This window comes from Homo sapiens, chromosome 1 (assembly GCF_000001405.40).
Source record: "Homo sapiens chromosome 1, GRCh38.p14 Primary Assembly".
In the NCBI taxonomy this organism is placed as follows: domain Eukaryota; kingdom Metazoa; phylum Chordata; class Mammalia; order Primates; family Hominidae; genus Homo; species Homo sapiens.
Genome location: NC_000001.11, coordinates 94,000,472 through 94,018,754, shown reverse-complemented (window position 1 = coordinate 94,018,754; position 18,283 = coordinate 94,000,472). Strand labels below are relative to the sequence as shown.

At 47.5% G+C, this 18,283-nt stretch overlaps 1 protein-coding gene across 2 annotated transcripts in view, besides 1 other annotated feature; it reads left to right on the top strand.

Annotated features, from left to right (window-relative positions):
• Positions 1-18,283, top strand: part of ABCA4 (ATP binding cassette subfamily A member 4) — a 128,315-nt gene that overhangs the window by 102,394 nt on the left and 7,638 nt on the right. For both annotated transcript variants that reach the window (NM_001425324.1, NM_000350.3), the window contains 11 exons: positions 2,901-3,016; positions 4,065-4,212; positions 7,370-7,493; positions 7,826-7,955; positions 9,884-10,004; positions 10,458-10,520; positions 11,015-11,121; positions 13,173-13,314; positions 16,763-16,897; positions 17,650-17,753; positions 17,827-17,919. In NM_001425324.1, coding sequence (NP_001412253.1) covers positions 2,901-3,016; positions 4,065-4,212; positions 7,370-7,493; positions 7,826-7,955; positions 9,884-10,004; positions 10,458-10,520; positions 11,015-11,121; positions 13,173-13,314; positions 16,763-16,897; positions 17,650-17,753; positions 17,827-17,919 — 1,283 coding nt within the window. The remainder of the gene's footprint in view (positions 1-2,900; positions 3,017-4,064; positions 4,213-7,369; positions 7,494-7,825; positions 7,956-9,883; positions 10,005-10,457; positions 10,521-11,014; positions 11,122-13,172; positions 13,315-16,762; positions 16,898-17,649; positions 17,754-17,826; positions 17,920-18,283) is intronic.
• Positions 6,945-7,444: an enhancer, noted in NCBI's record as "H3K4me1 hESC enhancer chr1:94476867-94477366 (GRCh37/hg19 assembly coordinates)". NCBI's record gives its function as "activates a minimal SCP1, AML or CMV promoter by ChIP-STARR-seq in naive H9 embryonic stem cells {active_cell/tissue: H9 hESC(naive)}" and the evidence as "EXISTENCE:reporter gene assay evidence [ECO:0000049][PMID:30033119]".

Below are 18,283 nucleotides of genomic sequence, written 5' to 3'. Positions count from 1 at the left end.
CTAGTTATAATGTAACAGGGATCATTATGACATCAACCCCAATTTATTCTAGGTGTCTTGAGTAGTAAAATCTCAACATTTTAAGACCAACATGAGCCTCCATTTCATGTGATGATAAGATATACCAACTGATGGAGACCAACACAAATGACCTTCTCATCCATGGTTTTTTAAAATGATGGTGAATATTGGAATTCCTGAAGATATGATTTCTATCTTACTCAGCTTAGTAAGCAGCTATCACTTAACAATACAAAACCAGAGATTATCAGTAGCAACTAAATTATTTCCTCTCTCTTCTGTCTACACGAGGAAACACTCATAAATGCACGGGGAGGAGGTCAGAACCTGAAAGCCTTTCTTTGGATAAGAGCATCAACTGCAGGTACCACATTGGCCCTGTGATGCTAATATAAAAGGAGCTAGGCCCACCGGTACCGAAAAGTTACTTAGAAAAGTGCGGAGGCTTTTAATTTTACTTTTTTTAAAAGATAAGAAATAGAATTTACACACTTGGGGCTGGCCCACGTGTTTCTGTGTGTGTGTATGTGTGCACGCACGCGCGTGTGCGCTTACAGGGATCTCTGAGCCTATGGAGAGAGATGTAGCTAGGATAGAGTGGACATCTGAGGTGGGAGGTGATACTAGCTGGCAGTCCAATGAAGGGGTAGAAGATGGTAGGCATCATGTTAGCAGGCTTTCTGATGCTCCAGAATTTTAAAGCTGGCCTGGAATCTCACCTCCGCGATCCATCATTTTGGAACTTAGGACCACCATTAGCCAGTGGCAAAAAAAAAGTTGAATGAAGGAACAAACAATTATTGCTTATGTAATTCACTTAGCACATATATGATGTTTTAAATTCTTATATGTGTCATCTATTTTTCTTTACTTTAAAATTTTGCAACAGTTACAGACTTATGGAAAAGTCACAAGTACAGTTGAAACCTTTTTTTCTTAGTCATTTGAAAGTAACTTCTCAGCAAGATGCCCCTTCTCATTTATTTCTCTCTTCCTGTCTCTCTCTCTCACACCCCTCAGCACGTCCGATGTATACTTCCTACAAACGAGGATACACCCCATACAACCACAACACAAACTGTCAACATGAGGAAACCAGCACTGATGTGTCATCACCACCTAATCCTCACACCCCACTCCTCTTTCGCCCATTGCCCCAGTGATGTCTTTCAGAAAAAAGGATCTAGCTCAGAATCATGCATGACATTTGATTGTGCTGTTTCTTTAGTCTCGTTCAGCCTGGAAGAGTTCCACAGTCTTTTGTTAACACTCATGGTCTTGACACTTTGAGGACTGCAGGCTGGTTATTTTGCAGAATGTCCCTTGGTCTGAGCTTGTCTGAGGTTTCCTCTTGCCCAGGTTGAGGGTGTGCATCTTGGCAGCAGTATCAGCAAACAGATGCTGTGTTCTCACTGCATCCTATCAGGTGGCTTCTGATTTCAATTTGCTCTGTTACTGATGATGTTCAATTCGGTCACTTAAGAAGGTGTCTGCTGAGCTTCTTCACTGTAAAATTACTCTTTTCCCCTTTATAATAAATACAAATTTCAGGTAGAGGCACTTCAAAGATATATAAATATCCTATTCATTATACAATTTTCCATTTATTCATCCATTTATTTATCTCTGTATGCAGTCATGGTTCATGTGTTAATCAATGGACTATGATCCAAGACTATCATTATTTATTTTGATATTCACATTATCCCCACTGTGGTCAGTGGGGGGCCGTTGAAGCTGGCTTCTGTATCGTCTTGACTTGGGTCCTCATGCCCCTGGACCTCCTCCATGCTCAATGGCACAGCAAGATATTCCAGGCTCATCCTTCCATTATCCCCATTCCTACCCTCTCCCCAAGAAGCCCTGGTTCCTGCCAGTGGGAAGTGGCCCTCAGAAGCCAAGGTCTGAGTGCTAGATATGTTCATTGCCTCTGGAGCACCATTGGTCCCAGGCCTTCTCAGTGATAGAACTAGGGAAGATATGGATGTACACACACAGGTATGCACACACCTCTATCTATAGTTCTCTATCTACCTATACAGTGAACACTATGAGCTCTCCAAAACCAACTCCACAGGGCTCATTCTAGTTTTTTTTCTTTCCACATCTGTAACTCCCTTCTCCAACAGTGAGACGCTGGCTTCTCTCACTCCCAACTCATTTATCTACCGGACCTATACACCTGAACAGTGCCCAACTCTGCCACCATCCCCTCCCCATGTGGATGCCGTCCTCTCCCTGCTCCAGCTGCCTCTGCTGCATGCAGGTCCTCCTCGTTCTGCTCTGGCTCTGATACCCTGCACCAGATCAGCCTCCTGTAAGGATATCTTTCTCATCCCGTTGAGGCCTCCACACCCCACGGCAGGTTGCCCCCTGAGGAAGCCCGTCTCTGGTTCTTGCCCTGCTCCTGATCACCATGGCTCCTCCCCTAACCCCACTGTTGCCGTCCCCTTTCTGTGCCCAGTATAGTGGCTGTAGGACTAAATTGTTTAAAAAGGGTATCATTATTTATTTGAGCTTTGTGAAGCCAAGAACTAGGCTTTAAGTTTTTCTGAATTCTGAAGACATGCTTAGAAAGAAGAATCAACAAAACTTTATGACCAAATAGAAAGAGTGAGAGACCAGGCAGAATTTTGTAATTGATCCTTTCAAAAGATACAAACTAAAGGTTCCCTTGGCAGGGAGGTAGGGCATGGGGTGGGGTAGGAGGACTAGTGACAGCTTAACATATGTTTGCCAACCAAGAACTGTTTAAAAAGCAAGTCGAATCAGAATCCCAGACCCTACGAGCTGGAGGAGCCTGGCCCCACCCCTCATTTTGCAGAGCTGGCAGCAGGTCTGAGAGGTTAAGTGACTTGCTCTCCTCTTCTCTTTCCGAGATGAATTATTCCGTGAGTGCTGGGCTGGTGGTGGGCATCTTCATCGGGTTTCAGAAGAAAGCCTACACTTCTCCAGAAAACCTTCCTGCCCTTGTGGCACTGCTCCTGCTGTATGGGTAAGCCGTTTGGGCCATTAGCTAATGCCTCTGAAGAGAAGCCTGGTGGTGGGGGTGGGGGATCATCTCCTGACAGAAAACCTGGGCTGTCCTGTGGTGGTAGCACCCACAAGTTTAGCTTCCGGCCCCAGGTAGGGTCTGAAGCTGATAACCAGGGATCTGTCTGGCTTCTGATTCTGACTCCACTGACAGAGGTATCTCTGAGGCCTGGTCCTGTCAGTGACAATGAGAGAAGTCCCACATGATCTGAATCTCCTACTCAAACTGAGGCCTTGACCAAAGCCTGGGGGCAGCCATTCCCCAACCCCTCACCCAGCTCTGACTCTCACTCATCTGTGGCCAATCTGTCCACCTCAGTGTCCCCATGTGAACTGGCCAAGAGTTACCGCCCACAGTAGAAGACTCCGGCCAAAAAGCTCCTCCTGAGTCAGGGACAGAGGATGACACAGGGGTTACATCAGCAGAGTTACAGGGCCCAGCATGCAACTTTCTTTCCCACGTGTGTAAATTTGAATGAGTAATTCATCCATCTCGGCCTCAGTTTCCTCATCTGTAAAAGAAAATAGTGATCCTGGTCCTTCCTCTGTGGGCCAGTAGAGCCTTGCCAAAGCATTGTTCTCCACATCTTTCTCTTGGAAATAGAGAATTTGGGAACCAACCTGACTATAAGCTGTGAAGATGAGCTCACTGGGCTCATCTGAGATGACCTCAGCTGGGCTTTGCTGACCCAGGCTAGAGTGGGAGGTGTTGCAGGCTGGAGAACCCTCCTATGAATTGTACAGGGCTTTGTAGTTTACAGAGTATATACACAGCTAGCAGCCCATTTGCTCCTCACAAAACCCCATGAAGTGGTCAAGGCAGGCATCATTATCTCCATTTAAAGTTGAGGCACAGAGACCAACAAATGGAGTATCTCTCTGGTCCCCTGGGACTCTGGCCAGTTCACACACATCACCTCAGGTGTAAGGGGAGTGCATTATATCCAGACGTATTGTAGGTGGAATGGAATGTGGAACTCCATCACTCTGAGTTGTCTCATTTCACACAGATGGGCGGTCATTCCCATGATGTACCCAGCATCCTTCCTGTTTGATGTCCCCAGCACAGCCTATGTGGCTTTATCTTGTGCTAATCTGTTCATCGGCATCAACAGCAGTGCTATTACCTTCATCTTGGAATTATTTGAGAATAACCGGGTGAGCATAACTTTCTTGGCTTTTTTGTTTGATTAGTAGGATAGTAGAGTATGTGTTGGTCGAGCAGAGCCAGGGGCAAGCATCGTACATGTAGCAGCTGTATGCGGATGAGTGCCACTTTCTTCCTCCCTACCCCCGACCCTGCCTCCTTTCCTTCCTTCCTTCCTCCCATCCTTCCTTCCTCTTTCCTTCTTCTCCTCCCTCCTCCCTCCTTCCCCCGTCCCTCCTTCCTTCCTTTTTCATTGCTTCCTTCCTTCCTTCGTCCCTCCTTCCCTTCCTCTTTCCTTCTGCCCTCTCTCCCTTTTTCCTTTCATCCTCCCTCCATCCCTCCCTCCATCCTTCCTTCTTTCTTCCTTCTTTCCTTCCTATAAGCACCTTTTTCATTTCTGTGCTCTGAATGAAATGGTTTTCTGTGTTTATTCTGCAAGCAAAACTTGATTCTTGCAATAAACTTTAAGCTTTGCTTACTCTTTCAGAAAGGTTTTCTCAGGGACTTTGGGTGTTGGGTTTTACACACACACACATCAATACATTTGGGTAATTTCAAAATCTAAAAGGAACAAAAAGGCATACAATGAAAAAATCTCCTTCCTACCCCTGTTTCCCACTCATGCAGTTCTCTTCTCCAGAGGCAAACTCTTACTTGAGTTTCCTGTGTGCTCTGGAGACACATCAGCAGATCCCTATACGGTCTTTCTCCCGCTTTCTTATGGAAATTGTAACACTCTGACATATACTATTCCTTGGGCAAGTTAATCTTGATGAAGAGACTGGGTGTTCTCCATGCTGAATGCCTCACTTTTATGAGCTGCCAAGCCCAGTTGTCCCTTCCACCTGACCTCCCCCTGTCCAGAGACAGATGGCCAAACTGAATCATAAAAAGAGGGGGAAAAAAAGAAGGCAGTCGCTGCAGGGCTGTCTTTACTCCACACTCCACACTCCCAGTCCCCACCGCTGTGTCTGAGTCCTGGCTGTGGCTGTCCTTGGAACATTTGCCTCACCACGTGCCTGTGTCCCCAGGCGCCTCAACCTTTCCTCTCCTCATTAGCTCTTCCCAGTTCAGAGGGTGGGACCGGCCAGCACATCTGCACTGCTGCCCTGCCACACCCACCTCCACCTGCCTCTGGGCCCCACTGGGGAACACAGGACAAATCTGTGCGGAGGCCCCACCATGAACCGCCCAGACCCGTGGACCCCTGAGACTGACTCTTTCCAGATCTTGTTAGGGTTTCGTGGCTGCTAGGCAAGTAACGAAGCCTCATCTGTCCCATGAATGATAAGAAATTCAGCATGTCAGAGTCAGACTCTGGAAAGGCGGGGGGATAAGAACACAGCCCCAGCAGATGGCCAGAGCACCCAGGTGACTGAAAGTGCTGCTTTGCAGAGCTGTGTTTGCCACAGGCTCACAGCCCACTAAGTCTTAAGACAGTTTTCCTTCAGAATAATTAAATAGCCAGCTTAAAGCAACTCAGAACATTTTCCCCTCTGAGGCTGCACCCATTTAGCCAACATTTGCTAAGCACCCGCCTTCAAAAACCTGGTATTTTCATGTAAATTATCCGATACACAGCTGCTATGGAAACCCCCAGTATCCCACAGGAAGCTCCCCAGCTCCCAGCAGCTGCCGGCCCGTGTGAGATCAGGAGGTCTTTACCAGCTGAACACCACGTGCCGGGTGTGTGCTGATATAAACAAGCGTGGCCCACTCGTCCTGCCCTCCAGAGGCTCCCGTTCCAGTCGGAAAAGGACCTGCCCACGAAGTTTGCAACGATATAAGCCACAGTGTATGATCCTCCATAATACAGCGTGTGACAGAGCAGCAGAGGAGCGAGGCAGATAACATGCTGCAGGCCAGAGGCAGCGGGAAGAGCCAGGCTGCAGGGGCTGGGGGAGCCGTGGTGGAGGAAGTTCAATTTCAGCCTGTAGATTTCTATTAGCCCATTTAATAAATAATGAAGTGCCTACTCTGAGCTAATCATTGTGCAGGTATTTAGGAAGGACAAAAAAATAATTAGGACTCAGTGCCCACCCTCCAGGGGCCCACTGACTAGTAGAGAAAGTAGGCAGATTTTTAAAAAATTAATCATGGGAATGTGATAAGTGCTGGGAGAGAGGAATGGATACTTTCTCATGGGAATCTTGGAAGGCTTGTAAGGGAAGGCACTCTCTGAGCCAGCTGTCTAAAGAAGAACAGGAATCTTTAAGAAAGCAGAAGGGAAAAGAGCATTCTTTCCTGCTTGGAGCAATAGGTAACAGCCTGCACATGCCCAGGCCTAGAGGCCAAAGAGCACAGTGATTCCAGAAAGAGTGGGGAGAAAGGGTAGGCAGGGAAGGATGAGGTAATGTGGGCGCAGGTGTGGAGGCTGGAGAGGGAGGAGGTTGTGGGACTGGGAGGAGCCAGATGGAATGGACAGCAGTGGCCCAGCCAGGAGCTATGCTGGCCTCGTACGCCTCGATGTCCCTTCTATTTTCTCAGGGGAGGCTCTGCCCAACATGCCAAGTCCGACCACTTGAAAACAAGTCCCTGGCTTAACACAGACCCCAGAGAGAGTCTCCAACCCTCCTCTCCCTAGACAATGGTAGTTGCCCTGTGAGGGGCTGAAAAGCAGAGCTGGAGATGGCTCAGGGCCTGGTGTTAACAAATGCCTTGAGGGCTCCTGTTGTTTCAAAGTGAGTCTGCAGGGAGAGCTCCCTAAGTGGACAGCAGGAGGGCTGCAGCTTCTCTGCACATTCCTGCTGTCACCCCCAGAGTCACCTAGGGGAGGGGTAAGGACAGTAATGCAGGTTCCTCACAGTTAGCCTCGGTGCCCACATGGTACTGAGCATAGTAAATGTTTAGAAGATGCTGCCTGGCTAGACAAAGGGGAAGCTCCCGCCCACTAGAAACTTGCAGGGAGCCCCAGTCCTTGATTGGTCATTTAATTGATTAGCTCCTTGGCCTGGCCTTGAGGCACTGCTTGTAAGTACTTCATGACCTCCATTGCAAACCCATGATGCTCTGCTGGACAAATCCCTCCAGTGGCCAGTCTGGCTGCAAGGACTCTCTGTCTGCAGGCCTTGCCCTGTGCTGTCCTGTGAGAGCATCTGGGCCCCACCTGCTGAAGAGAGGGGGGGTGGGGTTTGCCCCGTTTCCAACAGTCCTACTTCTCTGTTTCAGACGCTGCTCAGGTTCAACGCCGTGCTGAGGAAGCTGCTCATTGTCTTCCCCCACTTCTGCCTGGGCCGGGGCCTCATTGACCTTGCACTGAGCCAGGCTGTGACAGATGTCTATGCCCGGTTTGGTGGGTGGTAGCCGAGGCCCATGGAGCATGGGCCCTGGGTCCAAAGCTGGGAGGGTTACCGGGGGGGCTCCTGCATCAGACTGTGGCAGGGGCTGGTGCTAGGAGGGGACCTTGTTGGGCTGGAGGTGTCCTGCCAGCTGGAGAGGATTAGGGTGCCTCTGTTTCCATGGCTGGGGAGCCACAGGAGGGATGGAGGGCAGCCCTTATGAGGCGGGTGTTTGGCTCTTGCTCAGTTCCCACATAAGGCCTGGTCTAGTGGGCCCTGTGCTGTGGCCAGGTCTGTGGGGTGAGCTGGGGCGGCTGAAGTGGACTCAATTCCTGTTGATGCCCAGGTGAGGAGCACTCTGCAAATCCGTTCCACTGGGACCTGATTGGGAAGAACCTGTTTGCCATGGTGGTGGAAGGGGTGGTGTACTTCCTCCTGACCCTGCTGGTCCAGCGCCACTTCTTCCTCTCCCAATGGTACGTCCATGCCACACCCTGGGCCAGTGGGCAGCTCAGGGCATCCAGAACTGGACCTTATACCCACATGGTCATTTCTTTCCTCAGGAGCCCCACTCCACAATGTTTTTTCTACATTCTCAAAGCCTGGCTTTTCTCCAATAATACAAGTAGAGGATCGGGTTAAAATAGGCACATTCAAATATGTGAAGAGCATCCACTTTAAAATATTTAAAATGCAGTGCTATTAATTTCAATTGCTGATATTTAATCCTTCTCATTTAATTACCAAATGTGTATTTTGATTAGATGATAGTATTGCAAATAACAATGGTTACAGGGTATCCAAAGTACTAGGAAATAGACTAATGTATTTATGAGAGAAAGGACACAGCAGGCCCCTTTGCTAATTAGAGATTTGGGAGCATGGGAGTAATATGGGAGCCATGTGGAGGGGTGCGGGCAGTGATCACGACCCCCCACTCCTGGAGGAAGGTGGGTAGCTGCCAACCCTGACTTTTGACCAGGGCTTCTCAAATGCCAGGTTAGCTGGCAATTGCCATTCTTCCGCAGGCTCTTCCTGAAGCTGGGTGGGCCCCTGCCTCACTCCCCTCTGCAATCCAGTCCTACCTTTATTGTCCTCACCCAGGGGCCTGAATTGCCAAGCAGCAGCCCTTCCTAGCAAGCTTTCCCCAATAGTGTTTTGTTTCTTAACTTTTCCTCCTCTCAGGCTGAGTGTGGTCACCTGTAAATAGATTCCAAGGACTTGGTTTTATGTTTTGATCCACAGGGAATTGATTTATTGGAAATGAATCTGCCTTTCTACTCACAGGACTGTGAGAGGTGAATGAGATCACAGGTGTCAACACACGCCTGATGAAACAGGATACACAAGCAGTTCTAGTTATGGGAGACAGTGTCAGGAATTGTTGTCCTTGGCACCCTCAGCCCCTGCAGACCCTTTCTGCAGCCTTGGCCATACCTTTTAGAGGCTTTTGTGTGGGAGAGAGCAGGTCAGGAGGTTGACTACCCAAATTGACTCATTAGCTTCAAACTCTGATGTCAACACATTTGAATGAGTCCTGCCTGCTTTAGGGCCTAAAGAGGACCAGAGAAGTACACCATAGTCCCTGGCTTCCAGAAGGTCAGGGAGGGTTTCAAAGAAGAGGCTGTGTCTTTAAGAATGGGGAAGATTCCATTTGGTGGGGCAGGAGGAGGAGAACATTGAGGGACTGGAAACACATGCGGAGGCTGGGAGACGGGAATGACCAATAGGACTGGGAACCAGGGGGAGATGCCAATTGCTGACAGAGGAGTTAGTGCAAGAGGTAAGTGAGAAGGGTAGGTGGGGCTGGATTGCAGGGCTGTAACTACAGCTGCAGAGGGAGGGCTTCAACCTACAGCTGATGGGGAACAACAGAAGGTTTTGAGGCATGAGGTGGCCTGATGACAACTCTGTTTTGGAAAGGTGGAGTTGGCAGGGCAGACTGGAGGAAGTGGGAGGCTCGGAGGTTAGTAACTACCCCTTACTGAGTGCTTGCTGTAGAGGAAGCATTTTAGTCCTGACGGTGATCCCAGGCCCTGAGTCTTTACTCTGTGCCAGGCACTGTGCTGAGTTCATCTTCAGCACAATCCTATGAGACAGGTATTGTTACCCTCCTCCTCATCACATGGTTGAAGTAGGCAAGGTTCAGAGAGGTCCAATGCCCAAGATCACACATGAGGAGGCCAGGACTGGAACCCAAGGCTGACTCTGGACATGAGCACCTGACCTCTCTACCTAATGCCTAATGCCTCTCCTGCTGGGAGCCCTTTTTAGAATTTAAGTCTTAAAGGATGGAAGCCCAGAAGGAAGCAGAAGCAAGGAAGTGGAAGAGAGGTCCCATGGAAAGGACAGTGCCAAGGACACTGTACAGCCAGCCCAATCCTGACCCCTTTTCTTCATCTAGGATTGCCGAGCCCACTAAGGAGCCCATTGTTGATGAAGATGATGATGTGGCTGAAGAAAGACAAAGAATTATTACTGGTGGAAATAAAACTGACATCTTAAGGCTACATGAACTAACCAAGGTAAGGGAATGGGTATGAGTTTGGAGGTGCTGGTTAGATCCACAGTTGGCATGATGTTGCCATTTTCCTTCTATAGAACAATTGATATGCTTATGCAAGCAATTTGGTTCCCAGTTTTATGTAGGGTCATCATCCCTGTGTTATAACTCGTCTTCCAAGAGCATCTAATTCCAATGTGTGTTCCCTGCTATTCATCTCGGGCACTGACACAGGGCCTCAGTGAGAATCACTCCAGCTGAGCATCATTCCCTTTTCTGTGTTCTGTTTCTGCAGAGCATGGGTCAGCCTCGAGATGTCTCAGTACTCACCACACCTCTGTGCCTGCCCATGTCAATATGTAACCTCCTAGTGCTGGTAGTTTTCTCCTAAACCATCCTTTGCTCTTTGTTCCCTCTTCCCCTCCTTGCTCTCACCCTGTCTCAGTTCTCAGTCCGGTTTCTTCGTATCTTGCAGATTTATCCAGGCACCTCCAGCCCAGCAGTGGACAGGCTGTGTGTCGGAGTTCGCCCTGGAGAGGTGGGTACTCTGCAGACCACGTGTGAAAGGCTTCCGAACATCAGCTCTTGTGCCTGCCTCTCCTCCCCATAAGGCAGAGCTATTCAATAGGAACATAATGCCATAATGCAAGTCACATATGTAATTTTAAATCTTCCACTAGCCACATGAGAAAAGTAAAAAGAAAATAGGTAAAATTAATTTCATTAGTATTTTTTATTTTACTCAATATAACCAAAATATTATTTCAAAATGTAATTAATAGAAAACCTTATTAATGAAATATTTGACAATTTCTCGTTGTTTTTAAGTCTTTGAATCTTTACACTCAGGGCCCGTGTCAACTGGGACTTAGATGTGTTTCAAGTGCTTAGTAGCCACATATGGCTCGTGGCCTCTGATGGCAGCCCAGGTCTAAAATTCCTCCCCCAGCTCACACACACACTTACCCTGGGGCCTGACATTTTAGACCTTCTTGATCTCTAGGGCCAGGCTAGCTCTGTGTTTTCTCCTAGTGCTTTGGCCTCCTGGGAGTGAATGGTGCCGGCAAAACAACCACATTCAAGATGCTCACTGGGGACACCACAGTGACCTCAGGGGATGCCACCGTAGCAGGCAAGAGGTGAGTATCCTGCTCCTCCTGTCTCAGGGAGTCTCTCACAGGTCCTGTGAGAAGAATAGGAAGGGTGATCATCAGACCCTATAGTAGGGTGGCTCTGAGGCCCTGAAAGATCTGTACAGAGAAGGAGGCCTCCCAGAGAGCATGGCCCAAAAAGCCCAACACATAGACCCAATGGAAAAGTGAACTGAATTGTGATAGTTAAGAGATTCCTCTGTTGGGATGGATTCTTGGAAAGACCTGGGAAGCACTAAGTGTGTGGTTCTTAATCTCTTAGAGGTCACGGAACCTTTTAAGCATCTGATGAATATTTGTAGCCTATTCCTATAAAAATGCACCATTGCTTCCCATTACCTCCCTCCACACATTTTTACAAAACGTTTCAGGGAGTTTACTGAGCCCCAGGTCACATTTATGATCCTGCAGGAGCTCTTGAATCCCAGGTTAAGAACCCCTGTGATGAATGAAGAATCCTTCCTCTGGGTTGAGTTTCTAGATAGGGGCTCATGCATGGGCCTTTGGGGTAGCCTAACCTGCATTGGCTATTTGTAGGCTGATATTTGGCTTTGCCAGACCAAGGAGCATAGAGGGAAAACTGGCGTGTGCCCTTGGATTCTGGAGGGTGACTGCTGCTCTCTGTAATAAAATGTGTTTAAACAGACTGGTCCCCTATGGGCAGGACAGAGAGGATGAGCTCTCACTCATCTGCCTCTTTCCTGGCTGCAGGAAAAGCTTGAACAGTAAAACTTCAGCACACACAATAGAGGTGCCCAGAGGAAGCCTCTGCCCTGGTTTATAAGTGGAGTTAGGTGCTGCTGACATCTGTCCAGCATCTGCTTGACTGGGGCCTCTTCCTCTCTCCTGAAAGCCATCCTCAGCATGGCCCAATGCCCAGTGGGCAGGACGAGTCCTGAGCACGCTTCACTGGCTCAGACAGGATGAATTTGATTCTTTGGCCTCCATAGCCAGCCCTACTGGGTTTACAGAAAAGGGACAGGCAGGGGTGAAGCCAGGTCATGGCTGAGTCCATCTCAACAGATCCAGCTTCACCTGCAAGTGACCACGCAGGTGACTTCCTCATGGTGACAAAAGGAGTCATGGCAGGGTAGAGATATCATACCATGGCAGGGGAAAGATATCATAGAATTTTCCATGAGCACATTTATGAGACATCAAGTTACAACTGTGTCCAAGTGAGGCACAGTCTGACATCCAGAAGGTAAAACTGAGCTGGACGCTAGAAAGAAACTATAGGCTTAAGACACAGAATTGGGATTATATGGTAGGGTAGCTCCCACTAATTTGGAAACGTACCCTACTTGCTTCCCTGAGTAGTTTTAATTGGCCCAGCCATGCCTTTGGTGGCTTTTGTCATTGTGGGGAACTGTAATGGTCTCTCTGTACCATCCTATATCATCCATCCTTTATTCATAGACCCTAAGCTATAAGAAGAAAAGGATGAGATTAGACTAAATGTCTATGTATAGTTTATTTTCCATCTTGGCAATATATTTTTTAGTGGGGGTGAATATATTAGCCAAAGGGAGTTGGTGGAACCCAACTCACTCTACCCCTGCTCCCTGCAGGCCTCTCGCTGTGGGTAGTTATCTGACTGGCTCCTCTTTCATTGCTATCTTTGCCAATAAATACAGATAGAGAAGTTTACTTCCATCGGGACACATGCATCTTTTCTAGTTACTTCCCAAATGTCTGAAAATTATTGATAAATCATGAATCATTTTCTTAAACCTGATCTTCCCTCTGTTTTTAAACTCACATGTGAGGTGATCTGATCCAAAATGAAAGCTGACTTTTGGCGTAACAGGGATTCAATTAATCCTAGACATGGAAACATGGAAGAATCTGACAGGATTCAGTTTCTAACCGAAGGGCCCCTGTTTTGATTCCCAAATATCCCATGCATTTCTGAAGCCAAATAGGAGAAGAGAAGAAGCAGCTTCCTTTTCCCGTTGGCAGAAGCTTCTCCAGCCCTAGCTCTATGGTCATCCCTCCACTCCTTGAAGGATACTCAGTAATTGCTTTTTTTCTTGCAGTATTTTAACCAATATTTCTGAAGTCCATCAAAATATGGGCTACTGTCCTCAGTTTGATGCAATTGATGAGCTGCTCACAGGACGAGAACATCTTTACCTTTATGCCCGGCTTCGAGGTGTACCAGCAGAAGAAATCGAAAAGGTGAAAAATGTTTTGTTGTGGCCACATAGGAGTCTGGTTAATTACAAGCCTGTTTCATGAGAGTGCATTCTCTTGGAGATGAGAAACTGAAGCGTGCTATTCATTCATTCATTCCAACAAATGTTTACTATGTGTCTACTGTGTGCCAAGTACTGTTCTAGAAACCAGGAGTATAGCAGTGAACAAGACAGACAAAAAAAAATCCCCACTCTCATATCTAACAAAATGTTGTATGCATTTATCCTCTGACTCAGCAATCACACGTCTAAGAGTTTATCCTGAAGATGCATCTCCCACAGTGCAAAATGAATATGTATAAGGTGATCCATTGCATTTGTAATTGCAAAATGCTGGAAGTTACCTAAATGTTTAGTCATTGTAGATTGGCTGAATAATTTATGGTACAGACACACAATAAAGTCTTACGCAACTATAAAAAAGAAGAAGAAAAGTCTCAGTAAACTGATATGGAGATATTTCCAGTAAATACTGTTAAATGATAAAAAGCAAAGTGGAAAACAGAACATAGAGAACGCTACTTTGTATGTAAGAAAGAAGGAAAAACAAGAAAGTAAACGTATGTCTGCTTACCTTTGCAAATAGAACGTAGAAAGGATAAACCAGAAAACAATGAATTTGGTGATCAACAAGAAGAAAATGGGAAGAAAGAAAAATGGGAGGAAACAGTACTTCTGGGGATATATTTTTGTATAGTTTTAATTTTTGGAAGCATGTTAATGTTCCACATATTCAAAAAAAATCAGTAAGAATGGGAAGTAGGCAAAAATGAAAACAAAAAGAAAACCTAACACTGACAGCAAACTAAATAAAGTAACCCAATTTTATTTCAAATAAATATCATAATCTTGCAAAAGGGGGATAGAGCTAACACAAACAACTGCTGAACACAGTGTTTGACTCTATATCCTCATTCTTGGGCAGGGTGGAGCGGGGGAGAAGAACTACAAATAATTTCTGAGTTCTTTTTAGTTTGTTTTTTATAGTGGTATAGGCAAAGTGATTCTGAAAATTTTAGATGTGTTACAGGATTAAATAAATTAATAAATGTTTTGATGTTATTGGGACCCAGAATTCTCACCGTGGAAGAAGGGACTTACAAATATGGAAAAGGGAAAAGCAAGAAAGAACTGTGAGGTCATGGATAGGAACCGGAGGTAGCACTGGGAATTCAGGAATATTTATATGCTTGTGTTTGTGGGTGCATGCAGATGTGTTCATGTTTCATGCACATAGGCATGTATATATAGACATATATTTGCATGTGTGTATCTGTCTTCCGAAAGGCTCAAGAAGCAAAAACACCCCAGTAGCCATGAGCACACTTAGCACTCAGGCTTTTGTCTTAATAACATTCCCCACTAAAAGTAACCCTGATTCCTCCAATAAATGATAAGTTCCAGGGCTGGAATGGCATAGGTATAAAATGAACCTGGAATATCTTATGCCAGAAAGTAAGGAAGTGCTTTTAAAAAAAAAATAAGGGGCTGGGCATGGTGGCTCACACCTGTAATCGCAGCACTTTGGGAGGCCAAGGTAGGAAGATCGCTTGAGCCCAGGAGTTCCAGATTAGCCTGTGCAACATAGGGAGACCCTGTCTCTACAAAAAATTAGCAAACAAATTAGCTGGGCCTGGTGGTGCACGCCTATAGTCCCAGCTACTCAGGTGGCTGAGGTGGGAGGAATGCTTGAGCCCAGGAGGTTGAGGCTGCAGTGAGCTGTGATCAAGCCACTGCTCTCCAGCCTGGGAAACAGAGCAAGACTCTGTCTCTTAAAATAATAATAATATAATTTTAAAGAAATAAAAGTAACTCTGTACAGATTGCTTATTGGTTACATGGGAGAAACATAATAATTTTACAATGGAGAAATTAGACAGCACCTTAACTGGGTGATCAAAATTAACCATAAGGGGCAGATGGACATCTCATGCCCCGAGATGTGATACCCTGTGAAGGACACAATTTCACTTATGTAGAATCCAGATTGGAGATATGTAACCTGAATCTTATCATGAGGAAACATCTGACAAGCTCCAAAGAAGGAATATTCCTTAAAAAAAAAAAAAGGAGACTGTATTCTTCAAAAACATAAGAGTCATAAAAGACAAAGAAAGAGCTATGGAAATATCTCTGATCGCAGGAGGCTAAACAGGCATAATGACTGAATAGCAGACAATAGACTACATCTTGTGCAGAAGAGAAAAAAAATGATAGAAGGATATTATTGGACCAACTGACAAAACTGAACTATGAACAGTAGATTAGGTAAATGTATCATAACATTAAGTTTACTGACATTGATAATGTACTGTGGTTATGTAAGAGAAGATCTCTATTCTTAGGAAATATGCCCTGAAGTATTTAGGAGTGAAGGGCTGTGATGAGTAATTTACCCTCAAATGGGTCACAAAAAATTGTGTGTGAGAGAGAGAAGGGTTTTATTAGTTAATAATTCTATGAACTATTTTTATTCCTATATGTTTGTGTGAGTTTGAAACTATTTCCAAATAAAAAGTTAAAAATGGAGATTACATTCTAGTGGGAGGGATAGACGATCTGTAGATAAATAGGTAAAATATCCAGTACATTAGAGAGTGAAAAGTCCTCAGGGAAAAGTAACGCAGGGAGGAACTGCTGGGGCAGGGTTTGCATTTTGAGGTAGGGTGGCCCAGGGAGAGCCTGCAGAGGAGAGAACCTGAATGAAGAACTAGAGGTGAGAGAAGGAGCCACGTGCACACCTAGGGAGGAACATTCCAGGCACGGGGGACTAGTATAGAAGGCAGAAGCATGGTGAGCTTGTCTCCAGTGGCTTCCCTAGATCCCCTCCTGCGCATGTGCACACACACCTGGTGTCTCTGTCATCGTTCCCTCACAGCACTGTCACGATCTGCCAGTATTCTGTTTATTTTGACTGCCACCTCCCCGCAGTCTGAGGATAGCAGCAATGGCTGTGTTCACATTGTTCTCCAGTGCCTGGTTCAGTGCCTGGCGTATGGTCAGTGCTCCATAGGTATGTGTCGGATGCACAAGGCTTTGGGTGTAACCCTCTTGACGGGTGGGATCAACAGGTCTGGGACTCACCATCTTCTCAAACAGAGCCTTCCTCCTCCACTGCTAGCCATGGTCCAGGACGCTGGGCGAGACCCACTGTCTTGCTCTTTGTAAGGCTGAAGTCCATTTCCCAGGCGGCTACACCCAACAGATGCTGAGCAGGCTGGGCCACCCTGGGATCCAAGACACAGAGAGAAAGAGCCCCTGTCTGGCGCCTGAAGCACATGCCAGAGGACAGGAGCCAGCAGGAGCCTGTTTCAGCCTAGCTGGGGATTTCATTCTGGAGGCGTGAGATCTGGGAGCCCAAGGCTTTGAACTGGGGGAGGTTTGGGGTGTTTGCTTGTCTTCTCCAAATGGCATTTCTTTCTCTTCCCTAGGTTGCAAACTGGAGTATTAAGAGCCTGGGCCTGACTGTCTACGCCGACTGCCTGGCTGGCACGTACAGTGGGGGCAACAAGCGGAAACTCTCCACAGCCATCGCACTCATTGGCTGCCCACCGCTGGTGCTGCTGGTAACTGCGGGCTTGGGCCGCACCAAGGGCTTAAACCAAGTGCTGGGTCTCTTGGGTTGGGGAAATAGGTTCTGGGTCGGCAGATTTAGAAACTGCAGCAGTTTGGCTTTAGTCTGGACTGTTTCCTGTGTTGCTCATTTTGAGCGATCAGCCCAGTGTTTGGTTCACACAGCTCCGGAGAAAAACAAGTCACGGCACAGCCTTGACTTGGGACTGCGCACATCCTGCGTTCCCAGGATGTCTCCTGTGGGGCCATCGGCTCACAGCCGGGAAGTTCAGCCCACTCTGCGGCCTGTCGGTGTCTGGTCCCCATACAGGAGCACTGAGCTGGGTCAAAGGCTCCTGAGCTGAGCCAGGCCAGGCCTGAGGCCATGCCCACGCAGCCCAAGGATCATGAGGGCACAGGACATAGCGGGAACCAAGGAAGTGACCTGAGTGACCTCCCTGCCTTCTGACAAATGTATTTGCAGGATTTTCTTTTTTTGAGGAGAATTCTGTCATTGCCTTAATCCACTTTAATCCCCTCGTGGGCTGAAATGGGCCCAGGATGGACGCCACGCTTCTTTACTCTTGGATCCACCTCCTGCCTTCCCTACCCTACACCAGGGTACCCCTGTCTTGCTCAAGTGAGGGGAGTGACTGTGTGCGCCTTCTGTCAGCTCATCCTCCACAGGGGAGCCAGCCCAGGGGGAAGCAGTAATCAGAAGGGCCAGCTCCCAGCCTGTGCCCCCAACCTTCTCTCCACCCCCCAGGATGAGCCCACCACAGGGATGGACCCCCAGGCACGCCGCATGCTGTGGAACGTCATCGTGAGCATCATCAGAGAAGGGAGGGCTGTGGTCCTCACATCCCACAGGCAAGAGATTCCCAGGGCTGGGGAAGGTGGGTGGGAATCCTCTCCTGCTCACCTCCTCTCTCCTGCCCCACAGCATGGAAGAATGTGAGGCACTGTGTACCCGGCTGGCCATCATGGTAAAGGGCGCCTTTCGATGTATGGGCACCATTCAGCATCTCAAGTCCAAGTAAGCAGATGGTGGGGCGTGCCCCTTGTTGCCTTCTGTGGATCCACCTGGATCCTGTGTTCTCCATTGACACTTGGAAGAGTCCTGCTGCTCCGTCATCCCCTGGGGCAGAGGCAGGTGGTGGCTGGGCCTCATTCTCCAGCAGCAGATGGAGAAGGCCATCATGCTGATAAGAAACTCCTCTATATTGGCCTAATTTCCTGTGGTCGAAGACTCGCCCAAGTCTCTGGATGGGGCATCTGATCAGGATGCATGCAGAGCCTGGCTGGGATGAGGGAGGGCTGCTACCACTGCCTCAATATTTCACCACTTATCTCAACAGATCCGGGACCTGTGGCCTATTTACTAAGAGTCCACTCCAATG